This window comes from Homo sapiens, chromosome 14 (assembly GCF_000001405.40).
Source record: "Homo sapiens chromosome 14, GRCh38.p14 Primary Assembly".
Taxonomy (NCBI): Eukaryota; Metazoa; Chordata; class Mammalia; order Primates; family Hominidae; genus Homo; species Homo sapiens.
In genome coordinates, this window is record NC_000014.9 from 70,342,588 (window position 1) to 70,366,277 (window position 23,690).

At 41.7% G+C, this 23,690-nt stretch overlaps 2 protein-coding genes, 1 long non-coding RNA gene and 1 pseudogene across 6 annotated transcripts in view, besides 3 other annotated features; 2 read left to right on the forward strand and 2 right to left on the reverse strand.

Moving 5' to 3' along the window:
- The window catches only part of COX16 (cytochrome c oxidase assembly factor COX16), a 34,603-nt gene extending 17,507 nt beyond the window's left edge, over positions 1-17,096 (reverse strand). The window contains exons 1-2 of one of the 2 annotated variants that reach the window (NM_016468.7): positions 16,932-17,096; positions 71-142 (exon numbers count right to left, since the gene is read on the reverse strand). In NM_016468.7, the coding sequence (NP_057552.1) occupies positions 71-142; positions 16,932-17,000 (141 nt within the window). In that variant the 5' untranslated portion in view covers positions 17,001-17,096. The remainder of the gene's footprint in view (positions 1-70; positions 143-16,931) is intronic. The other variant, NM_001204090.2, reaches the window with a different exon arrangement.
- Positions 1-23,690, reverse strand: part of SYNJ2BP-COX16 (SYNJ2BP-COX16 readthrough) — a 92,010-nt gene that overhangs the window by 17,507 nt on the left and 50,813 nt on the right. Inside the window, exon 4 of one of the 3 annotated variants that reach the window (NM_001202548.2) lies at positions 71-142. The exons of the other annotated variants lie outside the window; for them this stretch is intronic. Coding sequence (NP_001189477.1) covers positions 71-142 — 72 coding nt within the window. The remainder of the gene's footprint in view (positions 1-70; positions 143-23,690) is intronic. 3 annotated transcript variants of the gene reach the window in all.
- Positions 2,548-7,836, forward strand: LOC124903340 (uncharacterized). Its single transcript, XR_007064238.1, has 2 exons — positions 2,548-2,606; positions 3,741-7,836. It is a non-coding gene; the product is annotated as an uncharacterized LOC124903340 (long non-coding RNA).
- Positions 6,983-8,182: an enhancer, noted in NCBI's record as "MED14-independent group 3 enhancer chr14:70816287-70817486 (GRCh37/hg19 assembly coordinates)". NCBI's record gives its function as "activates an origin of replication core promoter dependent on BRD2, BRD4, P300/CBP and CDK7 cofactors, and independent of MED14, by STARR-seq in HCT116 cells {active_cell/tissue: HCT116}" and the evidence as "EXISTENCE:reporter gene assay evidence [ECO:0000049][PMID:35650434]".
- Positions 16,816-17,125: an enhancer, noted in NCBI's record as "active region_8651". NCBI's record gives its function as "activates an Ori minimal core promoter by ATAC-STARR-seq in GM12878 lymphoblastoid cells {active_cell/tissue: GM12878}" and the evidence as "EXISTENCE:reporter gene assay evidence [ECO:0000049][PMID:35858748]".
- Positions 17,586-17,675: an enhancer, noted in NCBI's record as "active region_8652". NCBI's record gives its function as "activates an Ori minimal core promoter by ATAC-STARR-seq in GM12878 lymphoblastoid cells {active_cell/tissue: GM12878}" and the evidence as "EXISTENCE:reporter gene assay evidence [ECO:0000049][PMID:35858748]".
- RNU2-51P (RNA, U2 small nuclear 51, pseudogene) lies at positions 18,317-18,495 on the forward strand (annotated as a pseudogene).

A 23,690-nucleotide genomic window follows, 5' to 3' on the forward strand; every position in this document is an offset into this window, starting at 1 on the left:
GTATACAATTCTCCTAAACCAGAACATACATATAGACAGACACATGTCAAACTCTAATTATATTTCTTACTTTACTCTTCACAGCATCATATCGGATTTGAGAAAACTCACGAAGACCAAAAGAACCTCCAACAATCAGCAACTAAAACAAAGAAAGGAAACATTTAAGCAAAACAGAAGACCAGAATTCAAATTCAGCCTATCTATAGATTGCTTTTCTAAACAACAATAGAGGCACATTATACAAAAATTCTATAGATTATTTTTCCTGGTGAGTCACCATTCATCTTTTAGAGTAAATGCAGTATATACTGGCTAGGAAATCATTATAGCACATCATTACCAAATACCAAAATCGTCACCCTATACCTGTATTTGACCTTATGATTTAAATGACATCATAACAAGCATTGTATTATCTGACTCTTACAATAGACCTATTTTTGTTTTTTGCTAAGAAAAAAACAAAAACAAAAACAAATTCAACAAATGAGGAAATAAAAGCACAGCCAGCTAAATGACTTGTCCATTGTTAACTTAAATTTTGCCCAGGGATGTCTCTGTAATTCCATTGCTATGCGATCTTCCTTAGTAAGTAATGAAATTGAAACCTGATCAACTGATCAGACCATGTCCAAATAAGGCAGATGCCTAGCTATAACCAACCAAGCTATTTCTGTACTTCACTTTCCTGTTTTGTCTATACTCATTGCCCATATTGCAGAATGGAGCTCTCTCAACTTCTGGTTCTGAGTGCTGCCTGATTCATGAATTTTCTTTGTTCAAATAAACTCTATAACATTATTGTTTTTTTGTTTAAGGTTTTCCTTCTTTTCGTACTATGATTACACAAGGTAAACCCAGCAGTAAAACTTGCCATTTTTTCCTTCAAGACCAGAATTCTTTTGATTTTATGATTTTTCAAAATAAGGCAATTGGAGTTCTCATTACCTTACCAAGTGATAAAGAAATCTCATGAAAACTTGCTGCAGAATATTCTGTATATCACATTGTATTCCCAGGGACAATATGGCTATACAGGTCACAGGTAAAGAAAGTCTTCAAATTCTTACTATATAGTGAAATTCTGAAACATCATCTTAAGATATACAGAATCACTTTCATGTTTTTGCTGGCACCTATTTGAGGCACAGTATTTTCAAAAGATTTAAACTTCATAATAAAGAATTGTAACCACCGAATGGGTTCACCTTGCGTGCTACCTAGACAGAGCTGATTTATCAAGACAGGGGAATTACAATGGGGAATAACAATGGGGAATTGCAGAGCCAGCTGTGTGGAAACCGGAGTTTTATTATTACTCAAATCAGTCTCCCCGAGCATTCAGGGATCAGAGTTTTTAGATAATTTGGTGGGTAGGGGCTTGGGAAGTGGGGAGTGTGCTGATTGGTCAGTTTGGAGTTGGACTCATAGGGGGCAAAGTGAGCTTTCCTTGCTGTTTTCTGTCACTGGGTGGGATGGCAGAACTGGTTGAGCCCAATTACCCGTCTGGGTAATGTCAGCTGATCCATCCAGTGCAGGGTCTGCAAAATATCTCAAGAACTGATGTTAGGTTTTACAATAGCGATGTTATCCCCAGGAGCAATTTGGGAGGTTCAGGCTCTTGGAGCCAGAGGCTGCATGACCCATAAACTGTAATTTCTAATCTTGTAGCTAATTTGTTGGTCCTGCAAAGGCAGACTGGTCCCCAGGCAAGAAGGGAGTCTTTTTGGGAAAGGGCTATTATCAATTTTGTTTCAGAGTCAAACCATGAACTGAATTCCTTCCCATAGTTCGGCCTATGCCCAGGAATGAACAAGGGCAGCTTACAGGTTAGAAGCAAGATGGAGTCAGTTAGGTCTGATTTCTTTCATTGTCATAATTTCCTCAGTTATAATTTTGCAAAGGCGGTTTCAGTATTGCTACAAAAGTTAATGACCACAAGGAGAAACTCACTCACCATTACTTATTGTGTGTCGCTCTTATAAAACAAGCTTAGAATGGACTTTGGATTTCAGAAGACACCTGTAGATTTCCCTGACATCTCAGAGCAGGGATGAATAGTGTAAGATTCTCCCTGGGACCTGAAAGCTTAAGGAGATGAACAACTCATCCCTTCTCAGGCCCAGTCCCAAGGCACAAGGCTACTTGTACCAGCAGTGTGCACCAGCAAGATAGCAGAAGCAGGAAGAGAGCCGGCCGGAAAATACGTACCCCTGAAGATTGAGAAAGAGGCCATCCAGGTACAACAGAGCAATTATGTCAGACTAGGACACTTCCTGTTTACAGGAGACTATAAAACCTTTGTCCCATCCTCACTTGGGGCTGATGCCATTTTAGGCCTCAGCCCACCTGCACCCACGCGCTCATCAAAACAGCATGTTGCTCCTCACCACCTCATGTTGTCTGTTGGTGCGCTCTCAGGGTTCCAACCGATACAAGAACCGTACATCTGGTGCTGAAACCCGGGAGAGGTTCTGGTCCACGTCCCCTGTGAACCTACCCCTCCACCCCAGACAGCAGGCCACAGCAGCCAGACAAAGGAAGCTCCTCGATCTCCAGTTGCCTCTCTGTGCATGCACATTGGTCACTGATCTTGCTTACTGGTAAGTTTCCTCAGGGGCCCAGTTAGCAGGGAAAATTCACACGGCCTCTCTTAGTTTCTCTGGTCCGAATATCCAGTGTTGGTCCAAGAAGGCGCCGGCGTGTGCCAGGCACTCGCTGATCATCTGGTCTTAGGGGGATGCCTCTAAGCCATTTGATCGTGTTCCAGGAACGAAAAAGGCAGCGGTGACAGTTGCTCCTTTTATCATCTCCCTCCAGGATGGTCTCCTTTTTCCCTGTTCTCCTGAGCCTACCCTCTGTTATGGGAAACTCCGGTCCTCCATTCCAAACAACAGCCCTCTAGGCTGCTTCATAAAAAACCTGCAAACCTTAGGCCTCAGGCAAGATATTCGCTCTAAGTACCTGTCTTTTTTGCAATACAGCCTGGCCACAGTACAAATTAAATAATGGGTCCAAATGGCCTGCAAATAGAACATTCAACTTTACAATTTTAACTGACTTAAGCAATTATTGCCGACGACTGGAAAAATGGGAAGAAATTCCTTATGTCCAGGCCTTTTTGCACTCAGTTCACAACCCAACCTCTGCAATTCTTGCTTACCTGTTCAAATCCTTCCCCTCCATTCTCACCGCCCTGATCGCCTTTCTCCTCCCGACCCTACCTCATTTTTCTCGTTCGATCCAACTGACTGCTATCCACCCCTCCCAACCCCTACCTTTTCCTCTCAACCATCTTTTTTAACCCCCCAAGCCTCCTCGTTGTCTTCTCAGCTGCCATCTTCCCAGCTGCCATCTTCCCAGTCAGCTGTATCCACTTCTTTTCCTACACCATCCCCTCCTCGGGACAATTCTAGTATTGCCTGTACCCATTCTCCTCCCCCACTGCCCTCTCCTAAAGCTTGTAAACTCATCCCGCCACCTTACGCCCCTGCCTATCCTCCACTGCCTGTTAACCCTCCTTCCCCCTTCAAACCCTCAGAACGAACCATTATCTTAAACCTTCGGTTCATCTCCCAATCCACCCCCGATATTCGGTGCAAGCTTCAGAAGCTTGATGATGGCCCTCAAACCTCACAAGACCGTCTTAATTTAGCCTTCATAGTCTTTAACAATCGTGATAGGGAAAGTAAAAGGCAAAAACAGGCGGAGTTTCAAATGCTTGCCTCCGCCATCAGGGGCCCTGCAGGCCCACGGGTCCGCAGCTCCACACGGAAGCCTCCTAGCAACCTACCTCCACTTGGCACCTTTTCAAGTGCGGCAATGAAGGCCACTGGTCCAGACAATGCCCAAATCCAGGTAAGCCCACCAGGCCATGCCCCCTCTGCAGAGGACCCCAATGGAAATTGGACTGTGAGCGGCCCCTGCAAGGGCGGCCCCATCACTTCCTAAGCCGGCCAAAACCTCCTACTTGGATCTCATTGGCCTTGCCGCTGAAGATTGATGGTGCCCTGGAATGGATGCCCCGGCAACTACCATCGCTTCATCCGAGCCAAGGGTAACCCTGATGGTGGCAGGTAGGCCAGTATTTTTTTTTTAATTAATACCGGGCAAACTACTCTGCTTTACCTAATTTTTCAGGACACACCCAGTCCTCCCTTTTCTCCGTTGTGGGAATTGACAGACAAGACTCCAAACCCTGAGCCACCCCTCCACTTTTCTGCTCCCTGCACACCTTTTCCTTCAGTCACCCTTTCTTAGTCCTGCCCTCATACCAGAGACATCCTTTCAAAACTCCACACTACTCTCCACTTGCACATTCCCCATAGTACCCAACGCATCAACCCAGACCCCTCGGGGCATCTAACTTTCTTCTACTCCTCCAACCTGCCACCTTAAAACATGCAACTTTACCTTATCCCCCATCCGTAGTTAACCCCGCTGTTTAGAATATTTCCACACCTTCAGTCGCAAAACACCACACCCCCGTCCGCATTACCCTTAAAGAGTCCACCCAGTTCCTATCACAGAAGCAGTATCCCATCCCCCAAGCAGCTCTCATAGGCCTAAAGCCTATCATTTCTCGCCGCCTCACCAGTCACCTACTCCACCCAAGAAACTCTCCTTTTAACACACCAGTTCTACCTGTTTAAAAGCCAGATGGAACTTATCACTTAGTCCAGGACCTCAGGCTCATTAACCAAGCTGTACTCCCAGTATGTCCAGTAGTTCCTAACCCATATACTTTACTTTCTGCAATTCCCTCCAATACCACCCATTTTCCTGTTCTATACCTAAAGGATGCTTTTTTCCACAATTCCTTTACACCCTGATTCCCAAAACCTCTTTGCCTTTACATGGGAAAACCCCGACACCCACCTTTCACATCAGCTCACCTGGTGCGTACTACCTCAAGGTTTCAGAGACAGCCCCCATCTTTTTGGACAGGCCCTTGCTCATGACCTCTGTACCTTATCCCTAAAACCGTCCACTCTCCTTCAATGTGTTAATGATCTGCTCCTGTGTAGCCCCTCTCAAAGAGACTGCAACGCCCATGCTATCTCTCTCTTTTAAACTTCTTGGCAGAACGGAGGTATCGGGTCTCCCCTAAGAAAGCACAAATATGAGCCCCCTTAGTCACTTATCTAGGCCTGGCTCTTACCCCATGAACCCGAGGGCTCACAACCGACCACATATCCCTCCTCCAGTCTCTCCCACCTCTGCAAACTAAGCAAGAAATTCTCTTTCCTAGGACTAGTGGGATATGTTAGGCTCTGGGTTCCCTCCTTTGCTCTACTTGCCAAACCATTATACCAAGACACTAAAGGCCCTCTCCATGAGCCTTCAAACCCTGCATAGCCTATTACCCAACCTTTCCATCTACTCCAGAAGACTCTCATCTCAGCCCCCATCCTCACTCTCCCAGACCTCACCAAACCTTTCTCCCTCTATACCAACGAACGTGTAGAGTTGCACTAGGTGTTCTAACCCAGTCTAAGAGACCCACCCTCCAGGTTATCGCCTACCTCTCCAAACAGCTTGAAGCCACAGTTCTCAGATGGTCTGCCTGCCTCCAAGCACTGGAGGCAGCTGCTGTCTTCATCCTTGAAAGCCTAAAACTATCTCTCCATGCCAACCTAACAGTTTATTCAACCCATAATATCAAAGACATGCTAGCTCACCACAGTGTACTAAGTCTCATCTCTGCCCCACGGCTCCTCCAACTGTATGCTCTGTTCATAGAAACCCCCCAAATCACCGTGCTAACCAGCTCTCATGTAAACCCTGCCATGCTCTTTCCTGAAGCTACAACCGCCCAATACCCTACACACTTCTGTGTGAACACTGTTCAAACCTTTCTTACACCTTTTCCAAACCTAACAGCCCAACCCCTTCCAGATGCCTCCTTTACTTGGTTTGTAGATGGCAGCTCCTTCCTATGTCAAGGATGCCGGCATGCTGGCTATGATATAGTGTCACCCCCTCACACACACTACTGAAGCCAATCCGCTCCCCCAGGCACCACCTCCCAAAAAGCTGAATGCACTGCTCTCACTCAAGATCTCACTCTAGTAACCAGACAACAAATTAACATATATTCAGATTCTCATTATGCGTTCCATATAGTACACTCACACTCGTCTATGTGGAAAGAACAAGGTTTTTTAACTGCAAAAAACACTCCTGTCATAAATGGCTCTCTTACCAGCAAGCTCCTTCAAGCTGCCAGACTCCCGCAGAAAGCTGCCTTCATTCATTGCAGGGGCCACCAAACCCGGGACAATCCTATATCGGCTGGAAATGCGCTAGCAGATCAGGTAGCCAAACAAGTAGCCCTGCAACCCATGCAAGGCCAGTTTCTGTCCCTGTCCTTGTTCTCTCCTCTTTACTCCTCAGAAGAAAAGGAGGACTTCTGAGCCCAAAACCTTCAAAAGCAAGGACCATGGTATGTCAAGGAAAGGCACTTCATTCTTCCTCACTCTCAAAGCCTTCCTCATCTCCAAAGCCTCCCCAACACTTTCCATGTTGGTTACAAATTCTCTTGCAACTTCTCCGCCCTGTTCTCACTTGTCCTCACCTTTCCAGCTATGTTCAAGATATTACCCAGTCCTGCTCTATCTGCCACTCAGTGTCACCCCAGGGCTCCCTCCGGCCACCGCCTTTTCCTACCCACCAAGCCCGGGGCCAGATACCCAGGCACGATTGGCAAGTAAACTTCACTCACATGCCGCCCAATAAACAGCTCCGCTATCTTCTAGTCTTGGTCTGTACCTTCTCCAGGTAAGCAGAAGTGTTCCCAACAACTTCAGAAGGTGCAAATGTCACACAAACTCTCATCATGCATATAATTCCCCATTTCGGCCTCCCAACATCCATCCAGTCCGATACAGGCCCACCTTAATCAGCCAAATTATCCAAGGCGTCTCTACGTCCTTAAGAATAAAGTAGGTTCTCCACACACCCTACAGGCCTCAATCTTCAGGCAAAGTTGAAAAAATGAACTCTGTCCTTAAAGCCCAACTCACCAAGCTGGCTCTAAAAACCCAGCAGTTGTGGACAAAAAAAATCTCCCTTTTGCCCTCATAAGGCTCTGCGCAACACCAAAAGCACCCTCTTTTTATAGTCCCTTTGCAATCATGTATGGCTGAACTTTTGTCTTGGGGCCTCCACCCTTACCAGACTCTGAGCCCTTCAGGAATTACCTTCCCTCCTTAATCCAGACAGGGTCTTTCATTTGTGAAGCAGCAAATGAGGCCATGCCTCTCCCTGTCCACACCGCCTTGTCCTCTCAACATAACTGTCTTGCAGGCACAGATGTGTTTCCAGACAATCCAGATGATGCTCCTGATACAACGACATGGTGGACACCAGCCCGTCTCTCAAGAATACCCAAAAAATTAAGGTTTTCTTTTTCCAAGGTGCCCACGCCACCCCTATGTCACGCCTGAAGTAGTTATTGAGAAAGTCATCCCTTTTCCCTTTTCTATAACCAAATAGACAGGAATGTAAGATTCTCCCCGGGGCCTGAAAGCTTAAGGAGATGAAAGAAAAACTCTTCCCTTCTCAGGCCCAGTCCCAAGGCTCAAGGCTACTTGCGCCAGCAGGGTGCGCCAGGAAGATAGCAGAAGCAGGAAGAGAGCCGGCCGGAAGACACACCCCTGAAGACCCAGAAAGAGGCCAATCCAGTTACAACTTAGCAATTACGTCAGACTAGGACACTTCCTGTTTACAGGAGACTGTAAAACTTTCGTCCCGTCCTCACTTGGGGTTGACGCCATTTTAGGCCTCAGCCCGCCTGCACCCAGGCGCTCATTAAAACAGCATGTTGCTCCATACCGCCTCAGTGTTGTACATTGGCGCGCTCTCGGGGTTCAAACCAATACAAGAACCTTACAAATAGTCAGCTGGGTCACCTCTCACCTCATATTGAAGCAATACAGCAGTGACAGCTAACTAAGAGTTATCTTCTCCTATGCAAAGAAAACATATTTACAATACTGTCATTGCATTTATAAATGTATTCTCTAAAAACAACAACACACAAATGATTTTGTCCAACTTACACCTAACTATACGTGTTTAGTAGAATAACAATTTTAATGTTTAATATTTTACTTTCTGTTCTCCTATCATTTTCCCCTAATAAGAAATATAATTTGAGTACAATTAAAAATGAACAAACAATAGTTCATCCAATTCATTTGGTTAATTCATCTTTTTGTGCTTTTAGGTCAATTTGCTATCTTCAGTGCTGCAATGTATTACAAAGGTTTATGTTGTGGAACTTTGTTAATACCAAATGCTGTATCTCAAAGCAGCTAACTGAAAACTTCTATAGACTGGACTTCAAATATTTTTGCATCAGCCTAACTGTGGAATTTACACAACTCAGAAAAAGCAGACATACCTGACATTTTGCTGATTTAACAAAAGAAGAAAATAATATTTTCAAAAGCTTAGCCCTTCTACTAAATGACTGAAGCCATTCTTCAAGGGGGGATGAAAGGGGTAGGGAGCCCTCATTAGGGTAGTATTTTGCCTGAACTCAAAGGGTACAATTTCTATCTTATTTATGTCTTTCCCCCCAATATAACCACTGTTTCCAACTTATTGGTTGTCCTTCAAAAAATCATCAATCCATGTATAAGCACAGACATTTTAAACATACCACACTCTCCCTTTAATACAAACGGAGACATAATATGCATCGTGCTTACCATCTTGCACACTGCATTAATATTTTATTAATAAATACACACAAAAGTGTATATAAAGCATTAATTTAGAGATAATAATTGTAACATAAACTACAATGCATTAACTACCCAGTTTAACAAATAGAATACTGCCAACACATATACCCCTTGCAGATAAAAGGGTAACCTTCCTCTCTTTACCGTTAACACAAAAGCTAGATTTTATTGCATTCACTTCTTGATTTTCTTCTTTACTTTACCATCTATATATAATAACTAAATTCTATAATTAAGCCTTTTCTGTTTTTGAATTTTATTAAAACTATTCTTTGGTGTAACTTTTTTTAGTGAGAAATTATGTATTTTAGATTAAAGTATATTGTATGCAGCTATAGTTAATTTTCTTTGCTATATGGTATTCCATTATAAAAACAGAACACAGTTTATTTACTCATTCTCTTGTTTGATAGTTGAATGATTTCTGGAATAATGTCACAGCTTCAAGGTTTTGTTGGTATTCTTAATTTCAAAATTATAAAAGTTTATGTTTTATAGTGTTTTATACCTTTTAATATTTAATCATTTAATTGGTAATACAAGTATATTTATATAAAAAGGAAGGTAGGGATCAAACTTTATTTTTTTGCAAATGGCTAGAACTTTCAGCTTCAGAATGAGGGATTAAAGCTAATTAGATTTTTGGATGACATGATAAAGCAGCAATGACAATTTGGGGATCTTTTAAGATTACTGCATACTGGGAAGTGTGGTAAATTTCATGTGATTTCTTTTTTCTTTTGAAAAACCTGGCAATATTTATTTAAGAAGTGAAGATGTCATTTATTTGACCCAGGAATTGATACTTACGTGTAGTATATAATACTGGTCTGTACTTTTTTATTTATTTATTTATTTTTTGAGACCAAGTCTCCCTCTGTTGCCTGGGCTAGAGTGCAGAGGAGCGATCTCGGCTCACTGCAACCTCCGCTTCCCAGGTTCAAGCAATTCTCCTGCCTCAGCCTCCCGAGTAGCTGGGATTACAAGCATCCACTGCCATACCCAGCTAATTTTTGTATTTTCACTAGATACGGGGTTTCACCATGTTGCCCAGGCTGGTCTTGAACTCCTGGGCTCAAGTGATCCACCCGCCTCAGCCTCCCAAAGTGCTGGGATTACAGGCATGAGCCACCACACCCAGTGGAGATCTTTTTATATTTGTATGTGTGTCATACATATGATATTTTTATAACTACATGTTATATAATTATATATATGTAAACATAATGCATATTACATACATTATTTATGTGCACTACTCACTCATACATTTTCTAACACAAATATATTTCTTTTTTTTTCTTTTTTTTTTTTTTTTTTGAGACAGAGTCTCGCTCTGTCACTCAGGCTGGAGTGCAGTGGCGCGATCTCGGCTCACTGCAACCTCTGCCTCCCGGGTTCAAGAGATCCTCCTGCCTCAGCCTCCCAACTACATTTGTTTTTGTACACATATACTGGAGAAAAAATATCCAGTAATGGAATTTCTGGGTCAGATAAATGACATCTTCACTTCTTAAGTAAATACTGCCACTTTTTTCTAAAGAAAAAAAGAAATCTCATGAAATTTACCACACTTCTCAGTATGTGGTAACCTTAAAAGATCCCCAAGTTGTCATTGCTACTTTATCATGTCATCCAAAAATCTAATTAGTTTCATGCCTGTAATCCCAGCACTTTGGGAGGCCAAGGCGGGAGAATCACGAGGTCAGGAGTTCAAGACCAGCCTGGCCAATACGGTGAAACCCCATCTCTCCTAAAAATACATAAAGTAGCCGGGTGTGGTGGCACGCACCTGTAGTCCCAGCTGTTCGGGAGGCTGAGGCAGGAGAATCGCTTGAATCTGGGAGGTGGAGGTTGCAGTGAGCCAAGACTGCGCCACTGTACTCCAGCCTGGTGACAGAGTGAGACTCTGTCAAAAAAAAAAAAAGAAAGAAAAAGAAAAAAAATCTAATTAGCTTTAATCCATCATTCTGAAGCTGAAAGATGTAGCCATTTGGAAAAAAATAAAGTTTGATCCCTACCTTTCTTTTAATTTAATTTATATATAATTTTATATATATATACATACACATATATATACACACACATATACACACATATATATACACACATATATAAATATATATATATACATACACACACACATAGAGATAGATAGATAGATAGATATACACATATTTTTTTGTGTGTGGCAGAGTCTTGCATTGTCACCCAGGCTGGAGTGCAGTGGTGTGACCTCAGCTCACTGCAACCTCCACCTCCCAGGCTCAAGTAATTCTCCCGTCTCAGTCTCCTGAGTAGCTGGGACCACAGGCGCCTGCCACCACACTCGACTAATTTTTTATATTTTCAGTAGAGACAGGGTTTCACCATATTGGCCAGGATGGTCTCAAACTCCTGACCTTGTGATCCACCTGCCTCAGCCTCCCAAAGTGCTGGGATTACAGGCGTGAGCCACTGCGCCCGGCCCCTACCTTCCTTTTTTTTATAAATATATTTATATACCAATTAAAGAATTAAATATTAAAAGGTATAAAACATAAATGTTTATAATTTTGAAGTTGAGAATACCAACAAAACCTTGAGGTTATGAATTTCATTTTTTTTCCCATCAGAAGATTTTATCATCAGAGGCTATAAATTTCAAAACCAAGTATATGTGACCACATAAAAATTTAAAACTTCTGGGTGGGTATGGTAGCTTATCCCTGTAATCCCAACTACGCCGGAGGCTGAGGTGGGAGAATCACTTGAGGCCAGGAGTTTAAGACCAGCCTGGGCAACACAGCAAGACCTCCTCTCTTAAAAAAACAACAATAATAATAATAAATAAAACTTCTATGCTGACAAATAAATGAAATAAAAACAACATAAAATCAAAAGAGAACAAATCAGAAAAAATATCTGTTATAGATAAGCAGCTAATACCTGCAATGTCAAAATGTAAGATTTGTATACGCAAAATAACTTTTGTTTCAGTTTCAATGAAAAGATACAGGCAGGCCATGCTGAAAAGTCCAGCCATGTGACTAGAGGGCTGGGGCTTTGAGCTATGTGATATCAACCCAACCTCCAAACCTCAAGGGAGAAGAGGAGAGCTGGAGACAGTTCAGTCACATGGCCAATGGTTCAATCACCCATGCCTATATAATGAAACCCCAGTAAAAATTCTGGACAGTGAAACTTGGTTGAACTCCCTGGTTGGTAAACACATCAATGTGCAAGGAGGGTGACATGCCCTGATCCCATGGGGACAGAACACAGAAGCTCTGCATGCAGGACCCTCCTGGACCTCGACATATGAGTCTCTTTTTTTGGCTGTTCCTAATTTATATCCTTTATAATAACACTGTAATCATAAGTATAGTATTCTCCTGAGTTCTATGAGTAGTTCTACTAAATTATTGAACCTGAGGGGGTGGCTTAAACCTGGGGTTATGCCTGGTGTAGGAAGTTAGGGGAGTTTTGTGCAGGACTATGCATAGAGTGTGTGTGTGCGTGTGTGTGTGTGTGTGTGTGGTGTTTGAATTGCACTGCAACACTTACTGCCTGTTACCATAGAATCCACACTCCTAACTAAATATCTTCATTTATCTCCAATCTTCTCTTATCTACTGAAGGACACTGATTCATCAATTCTCTCCTTTCCTGTATCATCAAAATCTTGCTCACCACTGCAGGATCCAGCATAAAAATGCTATTATTTCTCCTATCTTATTAACAAACTTTCCTGGACACCACTTTCCCACCAGATACCAACCTCTTTCTTTGTTCCTATATGCAGAAAAATTTCTCAAATGAGTTGCCTATACTAGCTGCTCTTCCTACTCTCTCTTAGATCCATTCCAACCATCAATGACATCCACATTACTAAATCTGGTGATTTACTTATTTTCATCTGATTTCATGAATAAAATTTCATACAATTGATCACACTCTCCTCCTCTTCCCTCATATCTGGTTTTTCTTTTGCCACAGAGTCACTCTTTCTTAGTCTCCTTGATTGTTTCCTCCTGTATACCTCAACTCTCCAATGTTGGCATACCTCAGGGCACAATGTTTTCTCTTCTTCTCTATTCACTTATTTTGTAATCTTAATCAATCTTATGGCTTTAAAAGCATATGTTGATTACAACATTCCATACAGACATGATCAAGCACGAATCCCAGTACCACCGGGTGAACAAAGCAGACCAGATTAGTACTGCAAAATCTGGAACCTAAGTTCCAGGAAAGGGAGCCCAAAATATTATAGTAGGCTACTGCCTACAAGTTAAACATGACGACATCCTGCTAAACTAGAAGACTTAAATAGGATATCATTTCCTAATATTTAAAATGTTCAAGATATAATACAAATTCCATTGTCATGACAAGAACCAGGAAAATAACTTTACTCAAGTTTGGATATTTGACCCTCCAAACCTCCTGTTGAAATCTGACCCCCAATGTTGGAGGGAAGGCCTAGTGGGAGGTGTTTGGGTCATGGGGACAGATCCCTCACGAAAGGCTTGAGGCTGTCCTTGTGGTAATGAGTGAGTTCTCACTCTATTAGTTCCCTTGAGAGCTGGTTGTCAAAAAGAGCCTGCCACCTCCCTCCCCTCTCTCTTGGCATGTGATCTCTGCACATGCTGGCTCCCTTTTGCCTTCTGCCACAAGTGGAAGCAGCTTGAGGCCCGCACCAGAAGCAGATGCTGTGCCGTGCTTCACAGTATGTACAGCCTGCAGAACCATGAGCCAAAAGAAAATTCTTTCCTTTATAAATTACCCAGCCTCTAGTATTCCTTTATAGCAACAGTGGTCCCCAAACTTTCTGGCACCAGGGACCAGTTTCATGGCAGACCATTTTTCCACAGATGGTGGCGGGGGTGGGGGGTGGGATGGCAGTTTGGGGATGAAACTGTTCCACTTTAGATCATCAGACATTAGATCTCATAAGGAGCATGCAACCTAGATCCCTCACATGTGCAGTTCACAATAGGACTCGTGCTCCTATGAGAATCTAATGCCACCTCTGATCTGACAGGAGGTGGAGCTCAGGCAATAATGCCCACTCACCTACTGCTCACCTCCTACTGTGCAGCCCAGTTCCTAACAGGCCACAAACCAGTACCAGTCCGTGGCCCAGGGGTTGAGGACCCCTGCTTTCTAGCAACACAAATGGACTAAGACAAACTTGAATTTTAAAAAGGCTATGGAGAGATGCTAACACAGAGATAAATCAGAGATTAGAATTATCTGACAAAGATGACGAAGACCTCAAAGGAAACATCATAAAAATACTTCAAACAACAACAGATTTTCTTGAAACAAATGGAAAATTAGAAAATCTCGCCAAAGACATAGAAGATATAAAGAAGAACCAAAGGGTGATATCAGTGACATGGTGGAGTATCTCCAAAAATCCTTTCCTCCACAAAAACGAGAATATTTGTAAAAAATTGTCAAATAAACTTTTTTAGAACTCTGAAAATTAAGCAAAAACTTGCAACAATGTGCACAGTATTTACCTAAGAAAAATGCCTGAATCTCAGGAAGAACAGCTTGGTGGCATTTTTAATTTGTCATATTCTCACCCCTCCACCCAAGCTCCGTAACAACCATGAAAACCAACAGCCTGCAAACATGATGTAAAGCCTGGCACCAAGTGAAGAGGGTAGAGAGGTTGGAGCTCTTTAAAACACCATTCTGTGAGAAATGTCATCATTTCACCAGTCTGGTACTTCCTGGAAGATGCTATTCACAAAGCTCTCTGTAGTTTACCTGACATGGAGCTCAACTAGTATGAACAGACTTCTCCTAGGAAGCGTTTGTCAAAAAAAAAAAAAAAAAAAAAAAAAAAAAAAAATTCAGAGGTAATTGTTTAACATTATGACTGTCTGATGTGGTAGATAATAGGAATAAGGTGTCCTTAGAGGACTCTGAAAAGCTCAAATATATTCCTGAGAATTTAGAAAGTCATGCAAATAACTAGAACTGTGTACATGCCCAGAGCAATGTATATGCCCAAGAAAGACCTGAGAAGGCCCTAAATTCTCAACTTATGACTAATTTGAAGCTCTGAGCAAGTAAGAAGTGAAGGCTATACATGGAGCTGTAAATTGCATGGCTGAATGTTGAAAGCATGCCCAAAAAAGCATGCAGAGCCTCTCGACAAAGACTGGCAGATTTGTTGGTTTTGGGTTTTAAAGAAACCTCTGTCCAATAAAAGGAAACATAGTCCAATTAAAAAATGGGCAAAGGATTTGAACAGACATTTCTCCAAAAAGATATTCAAATGACCAATAAACATTTGAAAAGATGCTCAACATAATAAGTCGTTAGGGAAATGAAAATCAAAACCACAATGAGGTATCACTTCACACCTACTAGAAAGGGTAATAATTCAAAAGATGGACAATAACAAGTGTTGGCAAGGATGTGGAGAAATTGAAAATCATATCTTGCTGGTGGGAATGTAAAATGATGCAGCCACTTTGGAAAACATCTGGCACATCCTAAAAAGTTGAAGAGTTACCATATGACCTAGCAATTCCACGTCTAGGTATATTCCCTACCTGAGAGAAATGAAAACATACTTCCACACAAAGCGTGTACATAAATGTTCATAGCAGCATTATTCATAATAGTCAAAAATTGAAACAACCCAAATGTTCATCAATTGATAAAATATATCCAAACAATGGAATTATATCCATCAAAAGGAATGAAGTATTGATATATGTTACAATGTGAATGAACCTTAAAAACATTCTAAGTGGAAGAATCCAGTCACAAAAAACCCACGTTGTATTAGTGTGTTAATATGAAATGTGCAGAATAAGCAAATTTACGGGTAGAAGTAGATTAGTGGTTTACCAGGCCAGCATTAAGAGGCAGGAAGAAATGGGAAGTGACTACTATTAGTTATGATGCTTTTTTGGGGGCAATGAAAATGTTCTAAAATTGTGGTGATGGCTCCATAACTAAGAATATACTAATATACGAATATATTAGTATACTAATATCGAATTTGCTAAAAACAACAATTTTTTTTTTTTTTTTTTTTTTTGGAGAGACAGAGGTCTTGCTGGTTTGGAACTCCTGACCTAAAGCGATCCTCCTGTCTTGGCTTCCCCTAACACTGGGATTACAGGTGTGAGCCATCGTGCTTGGCCCAGATACTTCAAATGGGTGAATCTTTTGGAGATTCCTAAAATCCACATTTGATGAATGTGGATTTTTCAAAACTGTGTAAAATATCCATTACCTTTCTAAGATCACTTCTTTCCTTTAGTCTGCTTAAATGGAAAAGCTGGTAATTTCATCTGCGCCAACATTCATACAAAATAAAAATATAGTCTGTATTTAAAAGCAGCTTTTGTTCATATGCTTTAATTATTTCATTTACTAACACATCAAGGCTTGCTGAAGCAAAATAACTGGCCCGTAATCAAAAAGCAAATAAGAGTCATCTGGATTTCAACTCTGGTTGTCTTAAGCCAGCCTCAGCCTGCATTTCATGACATCCTTAGGGAACTCAGTGTGGATATGGATGAAACCATATAAACACGGAAGCTGTTTTCAACGTGCTTTAGAAATTATAACACAGCAATCATTCTGGCTACAATGTGGCAGGCACCGTACTCAACACTTTATTCACAAGGTGTTATTAGTTCATCACAACTCTAAGTATTAAGCTAATTCACAAACTAGAAAGATGAAACAGAAAGATACCAGGAATTCGTGCAGTTAAATGGAATACATCTAGTCCCAATGATCCACAGTATCGTCAAAACATAGCTAAGTTGGGGGCGAGGAAGCAAGCTTAGTAATCATCCAAACTTGGCTTAAAGTGTGGTTCTGACTGAATTCTCTGAGCTTCAATTTACTTAACTGTGAATCAAGGGTAGTAACAATGACCGCGTTCGACGATGGGAAAGACGCCACGCTCACAAGCAGACAGATCCTAGTACACCTGAAATCCAACCGGGAGTGGGGGACAGCGGCGGGGAAGTGGGGGTGTGGAAAAGACTGGTGGAAGAGCTTTTAGGAAAGCTCTCACCCCGTCGCTAGCTCCTTCCTAGCCCGAGTGCCAGCCCTTAACTTCACATTTTACAGATTCCCTCCCAGGTCTTGATCCTGCCAAGGAGGAGGGTCCCACCCCTTGCGGAAGATCCTCCTCACTCCACTCACCAACATGGGGACTCCATAGCCGAGAGTCTTGTTCTTGCGAAAAGCACGCATCACCGCGGGTGCAAACATGAGTGAACTCTTCCATCGGCTCAGAACTCCAAGCGGGCCTAGCGCAGACTCCCAAATCTCAGCAGCTCACGCTCTCACCAAGACGAGTACGTCCTTAACTCACTTCCTTTTCCTTGGTTATTTGGTGCTCGGTCCTTAGTGAATGGTTTCCGCTAGGCAAAAGCAATCGAGCCATCGTAACATACTTGTGCGTCCGCCCAGAAATGTGGGCGTCAGCGTTTTTGGTTCCGTAACGTCGGCGTGCAATTGGGATTTAGAGATTTGAATCGGTTTACGATCACCACCAAATTGATCTGGAAACCAGTACTTCCCACGTTCTGGGTCCTAACTAACGTCTGCTTAGAACACTCCCTTAGGCACATAGCCACTCGATAAAATCAGCTAAGGAAAAAAGTATTTTGAGGCCGGGCGCGGTGGCCTGGGTGGGTGGCCTGTAATCCCAGCACTTTGGGAGGCCGAGGCCGGTAGATCACCTGAGGTCAGGAGTTCTAGATCAGCCTGGTCAACATGGTAAAACCCCGTCTCTATTAAAAAAAAAAAATACAAAAATTAGCCGGGCGTGGTGGCAGGCGCCTGTAATCCCAGCTACTGGGGGGCCGAGGCAGGAGAATCGCTTGAACCCGGGAGGCGGAGGTTGCAATGAGCAGAGATCGCGCCATCGCACTCCAGCCTGGGGAACAAGAGCGAGACTTCGTCTCAAAAAGAAAAAAGAAAAAAAAGTATTTTGAAGCTGGTACTCCAGTCTTTATGGCTATTTGTGGGATGAGGAATTTGCCAGTTTAATGGAGACTTTTAAAAATAAATCGCTTTTGAAAGATTAGGTTGAAATGTAATCAGTGTAGTGTCTCATCAGTCATTACTGAACTTTTAATGCTAATGATTTTACTGTGAGATAACCTGTAATCTTTAGTCATTTATGAATGTCTATTTACCAATGATTCAGCAACCATACAGGCCACCTTTCAGCGTGTCTTTGAAAGGGTTCTAGGAACACAGATAAAAATATATGATCCTTACCTTAAAGACACTGGCGATTTCATGGGCACAGAAACAAACATGTGTGAAGTACTGGGATAGCTTAGGAAGCCGATCCCCCACGTGTCCCATTTACCAGAGTGAATCAGAGTGCAGGTGATGCGGAATATTATCTTCCATGCTATTCCTGAAATATTTCCATCTGTCCCTGCCTCTCTGTTACCACTGAAATGTTCCTTTTTTTAATTCCTTATCATCTTTTCACCTATTAAAGTAGCCTCTTAAGTGGTCTCCAGAAGAGAAGCTCCAGATCTACTGCAGGCTACTCCAGTGAAACTTATCCTTTTGGCTAAGATCAAGTGTAGTATCTGTTCTTAACAGTTTAATATTTGACACATTCTCTATCCAAGGAAAATATGTTAAATGGGTTTTTGAAGCAAGGAGATGGAATAGGAGTTTGCTCCACCACTCTACACATCAACCTGTATTTCAATACCTCCAGAAACCCAGGAACGGTGCATCTCTCCCATCTTATTTACTTCCTTTTGATATTTCAAAATTCATGCAGACCAGGCATGGTGGCTCATGCCTGTAATACCTGCAGTTTGGGAGGCTGAGGCAGGAGGATCATTTGAGCCCAGGAGTTCGAGACCAGCCTGAGCAACAAAGCAAGACCCCATCTTTACAAATAATAATAATAATAATAAATTAGCCAGGCATGGTGGGGTCTCAGCTACTTGGGAAGCTGAGGTGGGAAGATCACTTGAGCCCAGGAGGTCCAGGCTACAGTGAGCCGTGATCATGCCACTGCACTGCAGCCTGGGTGACACAGCTAGACCCTGTTTCAAAAATAAATAAATAAATCTCACGTGGCATCCAGGTTAGTTAAGCGTATCACATCTCCTACTTTCCCTAAGATCCTAGAAGCCAAAGGCGCTGCTCTAAAACTCTAGCGTTTTCCTACATCTTCACTACATAAAACATCAGCCTACTGGATACTACTCCATCAAAACCCGGCACCTAAGTAGTAGCTAATAATGGGTTAAATCGTATACATATATTCAAAATAATGCTAGAGTCGATAATCTTACACTTTTCAGATAAGGCATCTATCCAATTTAAGGCACTCTATGTCTTTAGTATCTTGTTTGTTCAATCACTCAAATAAGCATTTATTGAGAACCTTGAAATGGCCCTGAAGGAGTAACTGTGAACAGTAGGAATTACAGGTATGCCGGCAGATTGTCAGGGGACAAAATCTGTGACACTGAGGAATGTAAGCACCTATCAAATCATACTACATAGGTGGTAAATTTTACCAGCTATGCATAGCGCCCTTCTTAAGCATCACTACTGTATACTTCAGTTTTTCCATCTGTTAAATCGGAATGAGTGATATTTGTCATCAGTTTACGATTCTCACAAAAAGGGAACACAAAATTTCTTACCAGTATGGAATCTGTTGCCTTCCCAGAAATATGACTCAAATTCCATGTGTTTCCATTGTTAATAAACAGTTAAAATGCTGACTCAGCTATCTTAACTGTAAGAAGTTACAAAAAATGTATATTCAGGAAATGGGGCATCTCCACCATCTATGCCAGTCCCTGAGGACTGGTATGTACTTGATATCCAGGCAGGTTATATTATCCTCTAGTATCTGCTCTACCAGCATTTAACTCATGCAAGTACATGGGAGCGTTGTTATAAAACAAAAACAAAAACACCAGTCTTCTTGAGAGCTTTAGTCCTGAAGTTAGGTTTTAGAATTATGGCCAGAACTGGCCAGCCACAGTGGCTCATACCTGTAATCCCAGCACTTTGGGAGGCCGAGGCGGGCAGATCACCTGAGGTCAGGAGTTTGAGACCAGCCTGGCCAACATGGTGAAACCCTGTCTCTACTAAAACTACAAAAATTAGCCGGGCATGAAGGCGCATGACTGTAATCCCAGCTACTCGGGAGGCTGAGGCAGGAGAATCACTTGAACTCGGGAGGTGGAGGCTGCAATGAGCCGAGATGGTGCCACTGCACTCCAGCCTGGGCAACAGAGCAGAATTATGGCCAGAATTCATGGCTATGGTAATCGAAAGATTAGTTACTTCATGAATCTTTGTTTACTTTGATAATGCCATTGAATCTACTAATTGTTTTTTTTTTTTGAGACAGGTTCTGCTATATTGTTCAGGCTGGTCTTGAACTCCTGGGCTCAAACAATCCTCCTGCCTTGGCCTCCTAAGTAGCTGGGACTACAGGTGTGTGCTACCATGCTTGGCTTACCATCTAATTTGATTCACTCAAAAACCTTATGATAGGGGCAGAACATGATGCCAGACTCATCTTATAGGTTAACAGACTAAGGCTCAGAAAAGTTAAGAGGCAAACACAAGGTCTCACTTTGGAAGGGGTACAAATATCCCAAACAGAACTAAATTTCCTGTAGAATTGGACAATACTGACTATCTCCTTGAAATTCTCTCCTCCTGTGGCTTTTATGGAAGTTTCACTGCCATGGCTCCTCTCCAATGGTGAGACTTCTTTTTGTTGTCTTCAGACTTACAAACCTTAAACTGGAGTCCTTAGTCCCATTTTTTCCCTCTGTCTCAGTTACTCTCAAACTTTAGTGTGCACCAGAATCCCTGGGAGAGCATTAAAACAGACTGCTGGGCCCCATCACCAGAGTTTCAGATTTAGTAGATCAGGGATGGGGCCTGAAAATCTGCCCTTCTAACAAGCTTCTGGGTGATGCTGCTGGTCTGAGGACCACACTCTGACAACCACTGCTCCATCCTCTTTCCCTAGGTAAACTCCACTTTCACATTGGCTTCAAATTTTATCACAGCATGGAAGACTTCTGGTACACTTCCAGGAGCCTGAACGATTTTCTAACACCTCAAGGTCAACATGCCACCAAGGTTTATTTTAATCCTTTTCTCCATTCAATCTAATTTCTATGGCTAGAACTAGAGTAGCTAAGAGTTGGTCTAGTTCAGTCCAACTTGAAACCAGTTAAAATTGTCCTTGATATTGTTCAGCCAGAAAATCAACTGTTTCTTCTTTAATGCACTTTCTCTTATGATAGTGATCATGAACATTCCAAGTTTAGAATTATTGCTGTATTTGCCTTATTACTTTTTATGGAGTATAAGATATGGGGTAAACAGGACCATGCCTAATACATTTCTGTTTTCCATGACTTCCTTCATAGTACAAAACCACAATGCATAATTTTCTGGAAAAACAAATGAAATGACAGGAGCAGCCAGGAGTGGTAGCTCACATCTGTAATCCCAGAACTTTGAGAGGCCAAGGCGGGAGGATCACTTGAACCCAGGAGTTTGAGACCAGCCTGAGCATCAGAGCAAGACCCTATCTTAAAAAAATAATAATAATAAATAAAACAAACCAACAAACAAAAACAAGGAAATGGCAGGATCTTCCCATATCATGCTATACAGTGAAGGATGAAGAATACATGGCTCACTGCAGCCTCAACTTCCCAGGCTCAAGTGATCCTCCCACCTCAGCCTCCCGAGTAGCTGGGACAACAGGTCCATGTCAGCACACCTGGCGTTTTTTGTTTTTTTTTTTTCATTTTTTGTAGAGACGAGGTCTCACTATGTTGCCCAGGCTGGTCTCAAATTCCTGGGCGCAAGCAGTCCTCCCACCTTGGCCTCCCAAAGTGCTGGGATTTCAGGCATGAGCCACCATGCCCGGCCAGTAATTCTCAAACCAAACAAAAATCTGCTTTGTAACACTTTGGAGAGAATCAAAGGTAACTATTCCATACAAAAGTGCTAGAGGTCTCTTCTATACAGACAGACAAAAGAAACCGAAAGGAATTCAAAGACAACGGCAATGTCCTAAAGTACACTATTACTTGGATTACAAATTTCATCAGGTAGAGCAAAGCAGGAACTCTAGCCTGCTGGTTGTCACAGGGTTAAGCCCTATCTGAAAGCTTTCTGTATAAATATTGTTAATTAACTAGGGTTTCCTTTTTGGGTAGGTGGATGGGTGCTTTTGTAATATAAGTCAGTGGTGAAACAGGATTTTATCTATTGAACTTTATGTTAAAAAAAACTTTACAGAAACACTTATATTTAGAAATATGAAGACAAATGTTTGAATTGAGAGCAAGTGAAGTGCACTTTTATCTCAAGATAAACTTCCTGGAAAGGAAACCATTAAAAAATGTCCTGTCTGTATGTGTGTTTTGTGTTGTTTTAAATGCTTGAATAACATCTATTGTCTACCACTGGTTTTAAAAAAAAAAAAGATTAGTCAAATACCATTGTACACACAAAGTTTCCTATAAAACAAAACACAATGCACATCCAATAGAATTGGAACTTGATGCCTCAAAAATGAATCTATTTCCTAAAATAATCACTTCCAAATCAAACAACATTTTGAATAACCCCCAAACTGAGGAGGATATCAAAATAGAACTTATGTTACATGGCAGTTAATAAAAAGGAAAAAAACTTCATATGAAGTCCTATGATTGCACATAACTGAAAACAAATATCCAACTTATGAAAAGGAAAAGTACAACAAAAAAAAGCCCAAAACCAAAAACACAAACAAAGGAAAGCATAACGAGGGAATTAACCAAAATAAAAGCTAAACTAAAAAAATAGGAAACAAGCAAAAATACAAGAATTGATTAGTAAAACCATCCCAGGTGATATCAGCAGAACAAATAGTCAATTGACAGAATCTTTTAAAAAATTATTAATATGCTTTAAGCCACTTAAGTTTTGCAGTGGTTTGTTACATAATTGGTAACTGACACACCTTTGCCTATCAAGAAAGAACATGGCCATTCTATACATACTGTAGACTACCAATTTGATTTCAGGCCTGAACTGCTTAACATGGGTGACGGAGCAATGATGACCAATGTAAACTGCCTTTTCTCTTCATATCAAAGTCAGCTGTATGCAAACTAACTTAGAATAAAGGTCAACAATATTCAGTTCTGACAAGTCCTTTTTCATGCTGTGGCACAAACCCACTTCTGCCTTCTATGTATCTTATAAGGCTTTGGGGGATGAAGGGGATACAAGTAAGATGGTAAATGTTGGCAACTGCTTGCAAACATTGCGAATAAATACACAATGATACTGCTACTGCTATTATAGAACATTTAACCTAGTGCAGTCAATTTCCTGTTATCCATAATGGAAGGATATGATAGCATGGTTGAATCAAATTGAGTATAGTAAACCTTAATTTTCTAGAATAGTGGAAGGGCAGTGGACTCATTGGCTTGAAGTAAATTCCCAGGTCTGGAACTGACTAGTTATGTATCTTGAGCAAGTTATTAACTTCTTTAAGCATCAAGTTACCTCCCCTATAAAAATGGAATATTGACACTGCCTTGCACAGATATGAGAATTTGGCATTAAGTTATACAAAAGGGCAGCCTAATGCAGTGCCTGGTACCATGGGAAGTAGAGACAGTAAGGTGTTATAGTTATGAATGCAGGTTTTGAAGCCAGATTGCCTGGGTTTAAATCACAGCTTTGGCACTTAGTAGCTGTATAACTTGGGCAAGTTACTTAACCTCTCTATGCCTTTTATCTATAAAATGAAGATAACAACAGCAGTTATCTTAAGAGTTGTTTTGAGGCTTAAATAAATATTATACATGCAAAGGCCTTAGAACAAAAGCTGGAATATTGATAAGAGCTCCATAATTGTTAACAGGA